At 46.6% G+C, this 17,371-nt stretch overlaps 1 protein-coding gene across 6 annotated transcripts in view, besides 2 other annotated features; it reads right to left on the reverse strand.

The window, feature by feature from the left end:
- The window catches only part of PBX4 (PBX homeobox 4), a 56,975-nt gene that overhangs the window by 38,105 nt on the left and 1,499 nt on the right, over positions 1-17,371 (reverse strand). The window lies entirely within an intron of this gene.
- Positions 1,191-1,240: a silencer, noted in NCBI's record as "silent region_10449". NCBI's record gives its function as "represses an Ori minimal core promoter by ATAC-STARR-seq in GM12878 lymphoblastoid cells {active_cell/tissue: GM12878}" and the evidence as "EXISTENCE:reporter gene assay evidence [ECO:0000049][PMID:35858748]".
- Positions 12,022-12,586: an enhancer, noted in NCBI's record as "H3K27ac hESC enhancer chr19:19722648-19723212 (GRCh37/hg19 assembly coordinates)". NCBI's record gives its function as "activates a minimal SCP1, AML or CMV promoter by ChIP-STARR-seq in primed H9 embryonic stem cells {active_cell/tissue: H9 hESC(primed)}" and the evidence as "EXISTENCE:reporter gene assay evidence [ECO:0000049][PMID:30033119]".

Consider the following 17,371-nt stretch of genomic DNA (forward strand, 5'->3'; position numbering starts at 1 on the left):
CAAAAATTAGTTGGGCATGGTGGTGCCCACCTGTAATCCCAGTTACTCAGGAGGCTGAGGCAGGAGAATTGCTTAGACCCGGGAGGCAGAGGTTGCAGTGAGCCGAGATCAGGCCACTGCACTCCAGCCTAAGTGACAGAGTGAGACTCCATCTCAAAAAAAAAAAAAAAAAAAATTCGCCAGGAACAGTGTCATGCACCTGTAATCCCAGCTACTCAGGTGGGTGAGGCAGGAGAAATGCTTAAACCTTGGAGGCAGAGGTTGCAGTGAGCCAAGATTGTGCCACTGTACTCCAGCCCAGGCAATAGAGTGAGACTCTGTCTCAATAATAATAATAATAATAATGTAAAGCAATATACAAATATTCAAAACATTTCCCACTATATGCAAAAGTTTAAACAATGCAAATAACTCATCAAAAACTATGGTAAGGCATTAGTGGCTCATGTCTGTAATCTCAACGCTTTGGGAGGCCAAGGCAGGAGGACCACTTGAGCCCAGAAATTTAAGATCGGCCTGGGCAACATGGTGAGACCCATTCTCTTCAAAAATTTAAAAATTAGCTGGGCATGGTGGTATGCCTGTAGTCCCAATCCCTCAGGAGGCTGAGACAGGAGGATGGCTTGAGACCATGAGTTAGAGGCTGTAGTGAGCTATGAACATGCCACTGTACTCCAGCCAGCATAACAGAGGCCTTGTCATTAAGAAAAAAAAAAAAAGGCCAGAGGCAGTGGCTCATGCCTGTAATCCCAGCACTTTGGGCGGCCGAGGCGGATGGATCGCCTGAGGTCAGGAATTTGAGACCAGCCTGGCCAACATGGTGAAACCCCGTCTCTACTAAAAGTACAAAAAAGCTGGGCGTGGTGGTGCACACCTGTAATCCCAGCTACTCGGGAGGCTGACACAGGAGAATTGCTTGAACCAGGGAGGCAGAGGTTGCAGTGAGCTGAGATCGCACCAGTGAACTCCAGCCTGGGCAACAGAGAGAGACTCCATCTCAAAAAAAAAAAAAAAAAAGAAAGAAAAAAAAAGAACTATGAAATATCAAGGTCCAACAACTTGAAATCTGTGTTCACACTATGGTCCTGCAGTGGTGTATCCTGGTGCCTAAGCAGAAGCACCAATCATCCTCTTCCAGTGTCACTTGGCAGGTGTTTACTGAGTACCTACTATGTGCCACACACCATTCTGGCATCAGAGACACAGACAGGTAAGGTTTTTACACATGTGGCAGTTAAGAGGGAGGGAGTGAGACACCAAAAATACACACCAACAAGAAACCCATCAGCCGTGGCAGTTGCTCTGGGGCAACTGGGGTCACATGACAGTGATGGTTAGAAGGCTTTTTGGAATTTCCATGTCTCTGAGGTGACATCAAAGCTGAGATCAGAATGAGAAGGAGAAATCAACCAAGAAAAGGACTGGAGAGAGGTATGGTTTAGGCAGAAGAAACAGCCAAGCACAAAGGCCCTGTGAGAACACACTGGGTTCAGTACTGGCTGTTTGAGACCAGGCTGCTGAGTGTTAGGGGTGAGGGAGAGAGCTACGAGAAGTTAGACTGGCAAGTGGAGATTGACTCTAAGGGCCTTGAAAGTCATGGGGACAACTCTGGCTTTTGCTTGCTTGGGTTGGGAACTATGGTTGGCAGGATAATGGCTCCCAAAAGGGTCCACATGCTTATCCTCAGAACCCTAAATATGGTACTTTACAAAAAATGGGAAAAATAATTCTGCCAATGTAATTAAGTTTAAGGACCTTGAGATGGAGAGATTAACCCGGATTATCTGGGGGGGCCTACTGTCATCACATGACCCTTAAAGGTAGAGAACCTTTCCCAGATGTGGGCAGAGAAAGTCATGATGATGTAAGGGTTGGAGAGATACTATGTTGCTGGCCTTGATCATGGAGGAAGGGACCATGAGCAAGGAATGCAGGTGGCCTCAACAGGCTGGAAAAGGCAAGGAACCAGCCCATGGGCTCACTGGGCAACACCTTGATTTTAGCCCACTGTGCCCATGTGGGCTTTCTGACCTACCGAAATGTAAAATCGGTGGCTCATGCCTGTAATTCTAGCATTTTGGGAGGCCGAGGCAGGCAGATCGCTGGAGCTCAGGAGTTTGAGACCAGCCTGGGCAACATGGCGAGACAATGAGCTGGGACAAGAGGCACGCACCAACACACCTGGCTAAATTCTGTATTTGTTGTAGAGACAGGGTCTCGTTATGTTGCCCAGGCTGCGCTCAGCCAAGAGAAGAATTTCATGGAGAGAAGAGTAATCTGTGAGAAATGCTGCTGAGAGATCAAGCAGAATAAGAACCCAGAAGAGAATCTGAGGCTGGGCACGGTAGCTCACGCCTGTAATCTCAGCACTATGGGAGGCTGAGGTGGGAGGACCAGTCTAGGCAACATAGCAAGAACCTGTCTCTAATAAATAAATAAATAAATGAATAAAGAGAATTCGGATTTAGCAACATGAAGGTCATAGGTGACTCAGCGGAGAGGGAACAAGGTTGGGAGAGAATGTGGAGGTGAGGAGGAAGCGGAAGCAGCAATCACAAAGTCTTTGATGTTTATCATAAGGGAGATCAAACAAACATAACAGGTGCTAAAAGACAGGGTGTGTGTTAATCATGTTTTTTTTCTTTTTCTTTTTGAGACAGGGTCTTACTCTGTTGCCCAGGCTGGACTGCAGTGGCCATGCTGTGCCCGAACTCAAGCAATCCTCCCGCCTCAGCTCCTGAGTAGCTGGGACTACGGGTGGTGCTACCATGCCTGGCTAATTTTTAAAAAATGTTTTTGCAGAGCTTAAGTCTCACTATATTGCCCAGGCTGTTCTTGAACTCCTAGACTCAAGAGATCCCCCCGCCTTGGCCCCTCAAAGTATTGGGATTATAGGCATGAGCCTGGACTATTAATTATGTTTTTTTTTTATCTTGCTTTGACATTGTGGGGCTTGGAGTGACTGCCCTTCCCAGGGCTAGCTTATTACTACAGACAGCAAACAACTTGCCAAAGAACATGCCATTCATATGCAAATCAACCAATCAAAAGCCCACATTCCCAATCATCTTCTTCATTTAATGCTCACACACAAAGCCAATAATTTCCCAGCCCTAAATCACCCCAGGGCCAGGTACTGACCAACTAGAGACCACTCCTCTAGCACAGAGCCTGCCAAAATTATTTAAACTATCTAACCTAAGCTTGCTCAAACTTGCCTGCCATGCCATGCCATGCCCATTCCTTCCTGAGGAAATCACTATAAAAGTTCTGGGCCGTGCTTTCCCTCTCTCCACTGTCGCCCACTGACCCAGGTGCTTCCCCATGTGGCCCTGCCTGGCATGGTGTGCCCCCTCCTCTGGAGCTGTAAGTAATAAACTTCCCTTTCAACAGGGCAGTTGTCTCCATGTGTGTCATCTTACCATACCTGATTAAAACAAATCCCGGGTACAAAGCAAGGCCAAAGGGTAAGTCAAAGGGGTTTTTTTTCTTTTTTTCTTTTTTTTCTTTTTGAGACAGAGTCTTACTCTATTGCTCAGGCTGGAGTGCAGTGGTGCAATCATGGCTCACTGCAACCTCCACCTCATGGGTTCAGGTGATTCTCCTGCGGCCTCCAGAGTAGCTGGCATTACAGGTGCCCACCACTACACACAGCTAATTTTTGTATTTTTAGTAGAGATGGGGTTTTGGCATGTTGGTCAGCCTCAGCCTCCCAAAGTGCCAGGCTTATAGGCATGAGCCACGGTGCCCAGCCTGTTGTCTTTGACTGTTCTTAAAGATAGGAGGTACTAGCACATGTTTATATGCCAAAAAGCCAGTCTAGAGAGAGAATTTGATGATGCAAGGATAGAGTAAATGGCCAGGCGCAGTGGCTCACGCCTGTAATCCCAGTACTTTGGGAGACTGATGTGGGCAGATCACTTGAAGTCAGGAGTTCGAGACCAGCCTGGCCAACATAGTGAGACAATGTCTCTGCTAAAAATACAAAAATTAGCCGGGCATGATGGCATGTGCCTGTAATCCCAGCTACTCAGGAGGATGAGGCAGGATAATTTAATTGCTTGAACCCAGGGGGTGGAGGTTGCAGTGAGCCGAGAACACGCCACTGCATCCCAGCGAGCGAGACTCCATCTCAAAAAAAAAAAAAAAAAAGAATAGGGTAGCTGGTATGTGCATGTAGCAGAACTTCTGTGAACAACTTTGATGAGTACTATGCTATTAACATTTACTATTATGATGATTTTAAATCCTATAACTCTGTCATCCAAGCGTCCATTATTAAAAGATCCATTATTAAAAGCCACAGCTGAATAATGTATCTGAAAATCAATAACTTCACAACAGAAATCAGATTTGATTAACACCATGAGAGGTTGGGCATGGTGGCTCATGCCTGTAATCCCAGCACTTTGGGAGGCTGAGATGGGGGGATCACTTGAGGTCAGGAGTTTGAGACCAGCCTGGCCAACATGGCAAAATCCTGTCTCTCCTAAAAATGCCAAAAATTTGATGGGCATGGTGGTGTACACCTGTAATCCCAACTACTTGCTGAGGCACAAGAATTACATAAATTCAGGAGGTGGAGGTTGCAGCGAGACAAGATCACATCACTGCACTCCCGTCTGGGCAACAGAGCGAGATTCCATCTCAAAAAAAAAAAAGGAATACAACTGGGGTGCAGAACTAAGATCTTTGTCTCTGAACTTCAAATATAAAATGTTTGTGGGGGATGAGATGACATATGAACTTCCCAAAATCTAACCTGAACATTAGTCTTTCTTTATTTTTAATTTTTATTTTTGAGATGGAGTCTCGCTCTGTCACCCAGGCTGGAGTGCAGTAGCGCGATCTTGGCTTACTGCAACCTCCACCTCCCAGGTTCAAGTGATTCTCCTGCCTCAGCCTCCTGAGTAGCTGGAACTATAGGCGCGTGCCACCACACTCAGCTAATTTTTTATGTTTTTAGTATAGACAGGGTTTCATGGTATTAGCCAGGATGGTCTCGATCTCCTGACCTCATGATCCACTTGCCTCGGCCTCCCAAAGTGCTGGGATCACAGGTGTGAGCCACCATGCCCGGCCATGTTAGTCTTTCTTATAAGGTATACAGTCATTGATCACACGAGATATTCAGCTTAAAATATTAAACATTTTCTTTCCATAGAAGTGGTATTAACATTAATTTAAATGGACTCTGATTATAGCTCATCTTCTGGAAATTTAACTTTTTCTCTTTAAAAAAAATATATTTTAATATAAAAATAGAAGAAACCTGGGGAACATGGTGAAACCCCAGCTCTATAAGAAATACAAAAAACTGTCAGACACAGTGGCTCACGCCTGGAATCCCAGCACTTTGAGAAGCCAAGGCAGGTGGATCACGAGGCCAAAAGATAGAGACCATCCTGGCCAACGTGGTGAAACCCCGTCTCTACTAAAAATACAAAATTCAGCTGGGCATGGTGGCGCGCACCTGTAGTCCCAGCTACTCAGGAGGCTGAGGCAGGAGAATCACTTGAGCCTGGGAGGTGGAGGCTACAGTGAGCTGAGATTGCGCCACAGCACTCCAGCCTGGTGACAGAACAAGACTCTGTCTCAAAATAATAATAATAATAATAATAATAATAATAACAATAATAATAATAATACAAAAAGTAAATTATCTGGGTTTGGTGGCACATGCCTGTAGTCCCAGCTACTAGGGAGGCTGAGGTGGGAGGATCGCTTGAACTCAGGAGATCAAGGCTGCAGTGAGCTGTGATCACACCACTGTACTCCAGCCTGGGCGACAGAGTGAGACCCTGTCTCATAAATAAATAAATAAATAAATAAAACAGAGACGGGTTCTCCCTATGTTGTCCAGACTGGTCTCAAACTCTTGGGCTCAAGTAATCCTCCCACTTTGGCCTCACAAAGTGTTAGGATTACAGGCGTGAGCCTTGTTTCTGGCCTGGAAACTTAATTTTAACAATAAGAGGAAAGAAAATGAAGTTGGCTCTTCTGCTTCTGTAAAGGCTCTAGGATTTTTTTTTTTTTTTTTTTTTTTACCAGTTTTCTCCTTATAAAATATTTTACTTTAGATACAGTAGAAAGCACTTTTTAATGCATACAAAGTAATTTCATAGTTTCTGTGGCTTACTATGAAAAGAAAACAAGTTCCCAAGCTTTGAGCATGTCTTTGAGCTAGCAGTGATCAAGCAGCTGCTGCAAATCAGTGAGGAAAAGGGGACTGACTAGTGAGACCTTCCCCAAGGGGATGAAATCACTTACTTGGCAGACACACCCTAAGGTAACCCCCAGTGAGTCATGTCCTTATATAATCCTTTTTCCTTGAGTTCAGGAAGTACCTGTGACTTGCAATGTGCCAAAGGTGATGGTATCATCTCTGCCATGGTTATGTTGTTATCTAAGACTCCACCTTAGATGACTAGAGAGTCACCCACTGGCACCAGCTGCCATGTCATGACAGCTGGTGGCAGGAACTGCAGGCAGCCTCTAAAGCTGAGAGCAGCCTCAACTGACAGCCAGGAAGAAAGCAGGGACCTTTGTGCTTCAACTGCAGGAAGTGAATTCTTCCATCAACCATGCGACACTGGGAGAGAACCCCATGCTCTGGATAGGAACATAGCCCAGCCAACACCTTGACTGCAGCCCTGTGAGACCCTAAGCAGAGGACCTAGCTAAGCTGTGCCCAGAATCCTGACCCAAGGAAACTGTGAGATAATAAATATCTGCTGTTTTAAGCTGCTAGGCTTGCGGTGATTTCTTATAAAGCAATAGAGAGTTGATAATGAGATAGACTGGAAGCCAGAGAATGGGGACCGTTGGGAGAAAAATGGGGTTGGTGCTGGTATGTCTAACAAGTATATGACACGTTATGGCTGGGTGCCGTGGCTCATGCCCGTAATCCCAGCACTTTGGGAGGCTGAAGCGGGCGGATCACCTGAGGTCAGGAGTTCAAAACCAGCCTGGCCACCAGCCTGGCCATCATGGTGAAACCCCGTCTGTACTAAAAATACAAAAATTAGCCAGGCATGGTGGCACATGCTTGTAATTCCAGCTACCTGGGAGGCTGAGGCATGACAATCACTTGAAACCAGGAGGTGAAGGTTGCAGTGAGCCAAGATCGCGCCACTGAACTCCAGGCTGGGTGACACAGCAAGACTCTGTCTCAAAACAAACAAACAAACAAAAAACACAAGTATATGACATATTCTACCAAATCCACATATCTGAATTTTTTTGTTTGTTTTTGAGACAGAGTCTTGCTCTGTTGCCCAGGCTGGAATGCAGTGGCATGATCTCAGCTCACTGCAACCTCTGTCTCCTAGGTTCAAGCGATTCTTGTGCCTCAGCCTCCCAAGTAGCTGGGATTACAGGTATACGCCACCACTCCTGGCTAATTTTTATATTTTTAGTAAAGGCGGGGTTTCATCACGTTGGCCAGACTGGTCTAGAACTCCTGACTTCAAGTGATCCACCCACCTCGGCCTCCCAAAGTGCTGGGATTATAGGCGTCAGCCACTGCGCCTGGCCACATATCTGAGTTTTTTAAAATGCTAATGTTTATGAGAAAAATTCGAAAAAAAGGAAGAACAGTAAATCTTTTAAATTGACTTCCAAGGAGTCTTCTAACCTAAACAAAAACAAAAAAAGCCCAAAACCAAAATTCTGAATATCATTTTTAAACCAATATTCAAAATCTATAGCAAAACAATTGAGAGTCATATAGAAAATGCCAGAAAGTGAAAGCATAGAGCTTTATCCCCCTTCAACCTCATTTATTCAATATTTATGGGACAAACATTTATTGTGGAAGTACCATATGCTGGTCCTTGTATAAGGGCTAAGGAACATGAAAATGAATAAAAACATAATCCACATTCTGGTATCTACCAACAGTATGTTTTAGCTGATAATTTTAGCTATAATTTACTTTCCCAAATTATAGAACAATCTGTTTTCCTCATCAAGGTATCATTTTAAATTACTTGGGAATTTCATTTAAAGATATATTCAGAGATTTCAGTCCCTATGGAATAGAATACTACTTGAAAAAGTCTTCCTGAAAGCAACAATGATTCTAACACCTTAACCAAGGATAGATCGATTATCCTTGATTATTCTCAGTTCTAGAAGGATTATTTTAGCTGACAAAAGCAGTCAGCAATATTATACATCTCCTGGAGACAAACCTAGGTACAAACAAAAATTTAGAACTTATGTTCCCTGCTCTTAAGAAGTAAAACTGCAGGCCGGGCGCGGTGGCTCACGCCTGTAATCCCAGCACTTTGGGAAGCCGAGGCGGGCAGATCACTTGAGGTCAGGAGATTGAGGCCAGCCTGACCAATATGGTGAAACCTCGTCTCTACCAAAAATGCAAAAATGAGCCAGGCTGTGGTGACCAGCGCCTGTAATCCCAGCTACTCAGGAGGCTATGACAGGAGAATCGCTTGAGCCTGGGAGGCGGAGGTTGTGGTGAGCCAAGATCGTGCCACTGCACTCCAGTCTAGGCAAGTGAGACCCTGTCTCAAAAAAAAAAAAAAGGAAAGAAAACTGAACTCCCACCTGGGCAACAGAGTGAGACTCCGTCTCAAAAACAAAACAAAACAAAACAGAACAAAACAAACCAGGACAAATACCTTAGAAAGGTCAGAATACTTTGCAAAGTACTTACACTGTACAAGTCTGGAACAAACCGCGTGCTCACTCCTTACCTGGCAAGGAGTTCAAGGCCATGCTTGGTCGGACAGCAGCTGAGGCAGGCAGTCACCCCCGAGTCTCCCTTCCAAGGTCACGCCCACCACTCATGCCCGATGGGACCACAATGCATGCCTTCATGCTCCACGCCTGCCTTGCATGCATGCTTGCACCAAGCCTACAATGCCGCATCCACTTTCTTTGCCTAGGCAAAGCCTCAAGTCCAGATCTTGGCCATCTCCTCAAGGCTCCTTGTCCCCCGCCTGACTTCACCTAGACTCCAGAGTCATGCACTCTGATTGCCCATGCTCTACAAGCTCTAGTCTTGCTGAAGGGCTAACTCCTCATTGCCCTCTCTGGTCCCCGTGTCACCGCACTCTCCAATGTCTGCCTCTCCAAATAATGAATCTCCTTTCAGAACTCACTGCTGCATTCCCAAGCCCAGCACCAGACCTGGCACAAAATACATGTTTATTGAGTAGATGACATTTAATTTGCGAGAATGTACTTTTAAAAGTGTCCTGTAAAGCCCGAGCCTGACTGTCTGATCTCCCACGGCACCCAATCAGCTGGGCTCCTCTGAGCAGGAAGCGATGTCAGATTTAAGTGAGTTTTGTAGGATCCCTGGGAAAAGCAGAGACAGGTGGCAGGCAGTACAGCCTCAGAGTTCAATAGAGCATGCCCAAATCTCCATCCAACTACCCTCCAGTTATCTGGCCACTTGATTCCTTATCTAGAAACACAGTGAAGAGCCAGGCGCAGTAGCTCACACCTGTAATCCCAGCACTTTGGGAGGCTGAGGCGGGTGGATCACCTGAGGTCAGGAGTTGGAGACCAGCCTGACCAACATGGAGAAACCCCGTCTCTACTAAAAATACAAAATTAGCCAGGCGTGGTGGTGCATGCCTGTAATCCCAGCTACTTGGGAGGCTGAGGCAGGAGAATCGCTTGAACCCGGGAGGCGGAAGTTGTGGTGAGCCGAAATCGCGCCATTGCACTCCAGCCTGGGCAACAAGAGCAAAAATCCATATGAAAAAAAAAAAAAAAAAAGAGCCAGGCGCAGTGATTCACGCCTGTAATCCCAGCACTTTGGCAGGCCGAGGAGGGCAGATCACGAGCTCAGGAGATCGAGACCATCCTGGCTCACACGGTGAAACCCGGTCTCTACTAAAAATACAAAAAAATTAGCCGGGCGTGGTGGCGGGTGCCTGTATTCCCAGCTACTCGGGAGGCTGAGGCAGGAGAATGGCGTGAACCCGGGGGGCGGAGCTTGCAGTGAGCCGAGATTGCGCCACCACACTCCAGCCTGGGCGACACAGCGAGACTCCGTCTCAAAAAAACTAAAGAAAGAAAGAAAAACAAACAGTGAAAAACCACCCACTTCCTAGGGTTCTGGGGAGGGGTAAATGAGGGAAATCCTTATTGTCATCATCATCAACCACTGTGTTCTGATAGAGGCACTCGGTAGCTGTCATTTAAATGAGTGAGTGGTACTTGCTCCTTTGTGAAATTCTACACATGGCTTTACTTTTCATTAATAAAGCTATTTCAAAGGGGATTTTGCCAAAAGACTTTTAGATAGCTTCAGGGAATTGTTTTAAAACTAACACAATTTGCCAGGCACGGTGGCTCACGTCTGTAATCCCACCACTTTGGGAGGCTGAGACGGGCGGATCACCTGAGGTTGGGAGTTCGAGACCAGCCTGAACAACATGGAGAAACCTCGTCTCTACTGAAAATACAAAATTAGCTGGGTGTGGTGGCACGTGCCTGGAATCCCAGCTACTCGGAAGGCTGAGGCAGGAGAATTGTTTGAACCCGGGAGGTGGAGGTTGCGGTGAGCAGAGATTGTGCCATTGCACTCCAGCCTGGGTAACAAGAGTGAAACTCCATCTCGAAAACAATAAAAAATTTAAAAAACTTACAAAAAAATAAAAACAACACAATTCAAGCTGGGCAAAGTGGCTCACACCTGTAATCTCAGCACTTTGGGGAATCCGAGGCGGGATAATCATTTGAGGTCAGGAGTTCAAGACCAGCCTGCCCAACATGGTGAAACCTCGTTTCAACTAAAAATATGAAAATTAGCCGGGTGTGGTGGCTGGCGCATGCATGTAATCCTAGCTAATCAGGAGGCTGAGGCATGAGAATCACTTGAACTTGGGAGGTGGAGGTTGCAGTGAGCCGAGATTACGCCACTGCACTCCAGCCTGGGTGATAGAGCAAGACTCTGTGTCAAACAACAAAAACCAACACAATTCAACTCTTAGGAAAAGTACACCAAAGACAGCAAGACTCCTCTGGCACTAGACCAAGTCAAGCTAAGCCTGCAAGCAAGCTAAGAAGAAAGACTACAAGGCACGAAGTCAACTGGCATCTAATTAATCTCTTTAGGGATACTGAAAAAGAAAATTTTAAATATGAAATCCTACTTCCCAGGTTTGGACTGATAGATCCTCTCATGCTAATGCTATCTGGCTCTGGGAAATTCCACATCATAAATTCCCCCTAGAACCCTTGCATTCTTTGAATGGGTGTGCGGAAGGCTGAATGCTCACTGACATGCTTTATAACTATGTATGAATATAAGGTCAGAACATACATAAGTATACATACTTTATAAGTATATGTGTTCTGACCTTATATTCACTATTGCAAAAGTACCAAGCCTAGGGGAACACATTTCAGGTATCAGTTCACACCTTGCCTCTTCAGTAAGTTTAAAGGATAGTCAAAATCACTTCATTATCTCCCCTTCATAATAGGAATTTAATCCATATCTAGGCAAAGTCAATCTGCAGAAATATTGGAGGGACTAAGAAAGTTATGCAAATCTCTACTAGTTGAGGTCATAATAGTAAAAATCAAATTAAAAAGAGAAGGCCGGGCATGGTGGCTCACACCTGTAATCCCAGCACTTTGGGAGGCCGAGGCGGGCAGATCATGAGGTCAGGAGTTCAAGACCAGCCTGGCCAAGATGGTGAAACCCCGTCTCTACTAAAAATACAAAAAATAGCCTGGTGCAATGGCAGGTGCCTGTAATCCCAGCTACTTGGGAGGCTGAGGCAGGAGAATCACTTGAACCCAGGGGGCAGAGGTTGCAGTGAGCCGAGATCATGCCACTGCATTCCAGCCTGGGTGACAGGGTGAGATTCTGTCTCAAAAAAAAAAAAAAAAAAAGAAAGAAAAGTTCAGAGATATGTTTTCTTCCTAAGAAAACCTATGCAGGCATTGCTGGGTTGCCTAAAACCAACTTCCAAATACATTTTTGGTTTTAGGTATGCCATCTCACACACCACACTGCTTGCTCCTAAAACATTATAACAGTGAGCATTTAGAATGGGTGGGATGGCTCATGACTGTAGTCCCAGCATTTTGGGAGGCTGAGGCAGGAGGACAGCTTGAGCCCAGGAGTTCAAAACCAGCCTGGGCAACATAGTGAGACTCTGTATCTACAAAAAAATGTTAAGGCCAGGCACAGTGGCTCATGCCTGTAATCCCTGCACTTTGGGAGGCTGAGGCAGGCAGATCACCTGAAGCCAGGAGTTCTAGACCAGCTTGGCCAACATGGTGAAACTGTGTCTCTACTAAAAATACAAAAATTAAGCCGGGCATGGTGGTGCATACCTGTACACACCTGTAATCCCAACTACTCGGGAGGCTGAGGCAGAATTGCTTGAACCCATGAGACGAGGGTTGCAGTGAACTGAGATCGCACCACTGTATCCCAGCGAGGGCAACAGAGTGAGACTCTGTCTCAAGAAAAAAACAAAACAAAACAAAAAACCCAGGTTTGAAGAGAGAGCTATATTTTCCTTCTGAAAACAAACTTACGGCAACAAAACATGTTCAGAGGGCCTCACGACTGAGATGAAAAATTCCTTCTTGCTAAACAGTTGAGTTCAACTGACTGCTGGGGTGATAAAAGGGGTGACTGGCACATTGAGAGTGGGCAGGATCAGAAAGATTTTCAAAAGCCTCACAGGATCAGTTGATCAGAAGAGACAATCTGCTTCCCAGCCCAGGTTGGTAATCTACCAGGCTGCAGGGTTTACTGTGAGGAGCTGTATTTCCTCCAGAGGGGTGGAAATAGCCCATTTGAGGATGGATGATTTTTGTCTGGACTTGAGTGAACTTTAGGGCTTTGAGTTCATCTAAAGGCTAGGTCCAAAGAAATGAGGGAGATTTGAAGCTTCAAAGTCTCGAAATAAAAGCCCCGGGGGTCATCCCAATTCAGAAAGAGGCCAGAAACCAGGAACCAGCTACCTAACACCTGTGTTATCAAGCATGAATAACGCCCCCCACCACACCATTTAATTTCTTTTTTTTTTTTCTCTGTCATCCAGGCTGGAGTGCAGTGGCACGATCTCGGCTCACTGCAACCTCCGTCTCCAGGGTTCAATCGGTTCTCCTGCCTCAGCCTCCTCAGTAGCTGACACATACTACAGGTGGGCATCATCATGCCCAGCTAATTTTTGTATTTTTAGTAGAGGTGGGGTTTCTCCACGTTGCACAGGCTGGTCTCGAAGTCCTGAGCTCAGGTGATCCTCCTGCCTCGGCCTCCCAAAGTGCTGGGATTACAGGCGTGAGCCACTGCACCCAGCCTAATTTCTTAGCCTTAAAACAAAAAGAGCTATCTTTGAAAATGGTAAAGAAGTAACTGGCTGGCAGGGCGTGGTGGTTTATGCCTGTAATCCCAGCACTTTGGGAGGCCGAGGTGGGAGGATCACCTGAGGTCAGGAGTTTGAGAGCAGCCTGGCCAACATGGCAAAACCCCGTCTCTACTAAAAAAATACCAAAATTAGCCGGGCGTGGTGGCAGGCGCCTGTAATCTTAGCTACTCGGGAGGCTGAGGCAGGAGAATCTCTTGAACCCAGGAGGCAGAAGTTGCAGTGAGCCAAGAACACGCCAGAGCGAGACTCTGTCTCAAAAAAAAAAAAAAAAAAAAAAAAAAAAGTAACTGGCTGCATTCCATTCTAAATCTAAAGCCTGTCTAGGGAAACTAGAATCTCAGGAGATTGCTGCAAGGAAAATGCAGCAGCCCTGGGGCTGTGCTGGGCCTGAGGAAGGCCACATCTGAGCAGAGCTCACCCCTTAAGCAGCAATATCCCGGTCTGGAAAGTACAAAAGTAGCTTCCAGGACACACCCAAAGCTCTGCCTCTGCGGTGACATTCCTGGGTGTGTCAAAACCATCTTCCCCCTTTCCCAACTCCTACTAATCCCTCTAGAATCTCCTCAGTGTCATGAAACTACTGAATGCAAGGTGCTAGGCATTGATCCTGGCTCTGGGAACACAAAGTATAATAAAGCCACTGCTCTCCGACTAGCCTAACAGACATCACGGAAGGCACCCTCTCCTGGCACAGCTCTTCTGTGCTAGGAATTACCTCTACACAGCACATTCCTGTTATAACAATTATTTACAAGTTGGTCTCCCACACACCCTACTTCTCAGTGGGCTCCAAGAAGGCAGAGAACATCTTAGCCATCTTGGTTTCTCTAGCACCTGGTACAATGCTCCAAAAAGAATAAAAACACTGGTTCACGTCTGTCATCCCAGCACTCTGGGAGGCCAAGATGGGTGAATCACTTGAGCTCAGGAGTTCAAGACCAGCCTGGACAACATGGTGAAACCCCATCTCCACAAAAAATACAAAAATTAGCCAGCCATTCATTGGTGGTTTGAGGCTGTAGTCCCAGCTACTTGGGAGACTGAGGCTGGAGAATCACTTGAACCTGGGAAGCAGAGGTTGTAGTGAGTTGAGATCATACCACAGCACTCCAGCCTGGGTGACAGAATAAGACCCTGTCTCAAAAACAAACAAACAAACATGGCCCGGCGCAGTGGCTCACGCCTGTAATCCCAACACTTTGAGAGGCCAAGGCGGGTAGATCATCTGAGGTCGGGAGTTTGAGACCAGCCTGGCCAACATGGTGAAACCCCATCTCTATTAAAAATACAAAAAACTAGCCAGGTGTGGTGGTGCACACCTGTAATCCCAGCTACTTGGGAAACTGAGATGGGAGAATCACTTGAACCCGGGAGGCGGAGGTTGCTCACTAGCCGAGATCGCGCCACTGCACTCCAGCCTGATCGCGCCACTGCACTCCAGCCTGGACAACAGAGTATGAGACTCCGTCTCAAAAAAACCCAAACCAAACCAAAAAACAGCCAAACAAACAAACAAAAACAAACAAACAAACAAAAAACCACAATGAAAACAGTTGGAGGAGCCAGGCTCAGTGGCTCATGTTTGAAATCCTCGACCTTTGGAAGGCTGAGGCGGGAGGATTTCTTAACTCAGGAGTTTGAGACCAGCCTGGCCAACATAGGGAGACCTAAAAAAATAGAAAGATTAGTCCAGGTGTGGTGGCTCAGGGCTGTAATCCCAGCACTTTGGGAGGCCGAGGTGGGTGGATCATTTGAGGTCAGGAGTTCAACACCAGCCTAGCCAATACGGTGAAACCCTGTCTCTACTAAAAATACAAAAAAAAATTAGCCAGGCGGTAGTGGCACACGCCTGTAATCCCAGCTACTCAGGAGGCTGAGGCAGGAGAATTGCTTGAGCCTGGGAGGCAGAGGTTGCAGTGAGCTGAGACTGCACCACTGCACTCCAGTCTGGGTGACAGAGTGAGACCCTGTCTCCAAAAAAAAAAAAAAAAAAAAAAAAAAGAAAGATTAGCCAGGCGTGGTGGCACAGGCCTGTGGTCCTAGCTACTCAAGAAGCTGAGGTGTGAAGATTGCTTGGGCCCAGAAGGTTGAGGCTGCAGTGAGTCATGATGACACTACTGCACTCTAGCCTGGGTGACAGAGCGCGGCCTTATATAAAAAAAAAAAAGCCAAAGAAATAGTTGTATGGTGACAAGGACTCTAATTTCTCAAACAGAGCATCTGAAACTACAAAAAGTGTCAACATTCCCTGAGAAGCAAAGGAAAGAAAGTTTGAAGAACAAATTTACTTTCTCTCCCCAAACCATGAACTTGAGAGCAGGAAGAACTTGAGAGCTATGCCAGAACCCAGTTCAGTACCCAGATATTGTAAAGGTCCGATAAATATCGGCCAAATTTGTTAAAAATTCATTGAAGAACAGGCCAGGCACAGTAGTTCACGCCTGTAATCCCAGCACTTTGGGAGGCTGAGGTAGGCAGATCACCTAAGGTCAGGAATTTGTGACCAGCCTGGCCAACACGGTGAAACCCCATCTCTACTAAAAATACAAAACTAGCCACGCATGGGGCGTATGCCTGTAGTCCCGGCTACTCAGGAAGCTGAGGCAGGAGAATCGCTTGAACCCGGGAGGCAGAGGTTGCAGTGAGCCGAGATAGCGCCACTGCACTCCAGCCTGGGCAACAGAGTGAGAGTCCGTCACACACACACACACACAATTCATTGAAGAACAAATGCATGCATTATCCACCTTTTTATCTGCCTCTTCCTTCCTAGGACTGCTGTTTACCTGGCTTTGTAACCCCTCCCCACTACAGGGCTCTAGTGGGTACACAGTCCACACCACCAGACCCTAGTCCCATACCCAGAGACCGTCCCTCACCTTACAACAGTCCCCATTCAACAAGGCCTCATCCTCCAAAAGGACTTCAGTCCTTTCCTTTCCTTTTCTGTAATAATCACTGCAGGACCCAGACACAGTGGGCTGCCTTGTGAAGCAGATTCTACGGATCCTGGCTGGCTGACAAGTGGTGAGTGGAGGTAAACGGGATGGGAGGTCTAAAAACTCCTTTATTTTTCCCCATTGCAACTGGAATAAATAGTCCGAACTCCCTATTGATTGTTATCCAGATGACAAAAACAAAACTATTTTTTTATGGAGACAGAGTCTCACTCTGTCGCCCAGGTTGGAATGCAGTGGCGCTTGAACCCAGGCACCTCCTGGATTCAAGTGTTTCTCCTGCCTCAGCCTCCCAAGTAGCTGGGACCATAGACATGCACCACCACGCCCAGCTAATTTTCGTATTTTTAGTAGAGATGGGGTTTTGCCATGTTGGCCAGGCTGGTCTCGAACTCTTGACCTCAGGTGATCTGCCCACCTTGGCCTCCCAAAGTGCAGGGATTACAGGTGTCAGCCACTGTGCCTGGCTGAACAAACAAAACTCTTTACTGAGATTCGTAGGCCCCATGTAATTGGGTTCCAGTCTCCCTTTATTATTATTATTATTTTTTGTTCAGACGGAATCTCGCTCTGTCGCCCAGGCTGGAGTGCAGTGGTGTGATCTCGGCTCACTGCAGCCTCCGCCTCCCAGGTTCCAGTGATTCTCCTGCCTCAGCCTCCCAAGTAGTTGGGATTATAGGTGTGCACCACTACACCCAGCTAATTTTTGTATTTTTGGTAGAGACTGGGTTTCACCATGTTGGCCAGGCTGGTATTGAACTCCTGACCTCGTGATTCACCTGCCTTGGCCTCCCAAAGTGCTGGGATTACAGGCGTGAGCCACCGCACCTGGCCCCAGCCTTCCTTTAAACTCAACTCTTTCCCTCCCTGGCTAGGAACTTTCTCTTCCCAGCCAGACTCCGCTTTTTACATCCTCTTTCCCACCTCAGGGCCTCTGAAGGTGCTGTCCTCTCCAAAGATGTTCTTCTCCACCTGGCTTCCTATAGCATGCAACCCCTATCCCTACAGCTTTTATTGCCATTTATTTTATTTTTTTCTTTT

Source organism: Homo sapiens, chromosome 19, assembly GCF_000001405.40.
Source record: "Homo sapiens chromosome 19, GRCh38.p14 Primary Assembly".
In the NCBI taxonomy this organism is placed as follows: domain Eukaryota; kingdom Metazoa; phylum Chordata; class Mammalia; order Primates; family Hominidae; genus Homo; species Homo sapiens.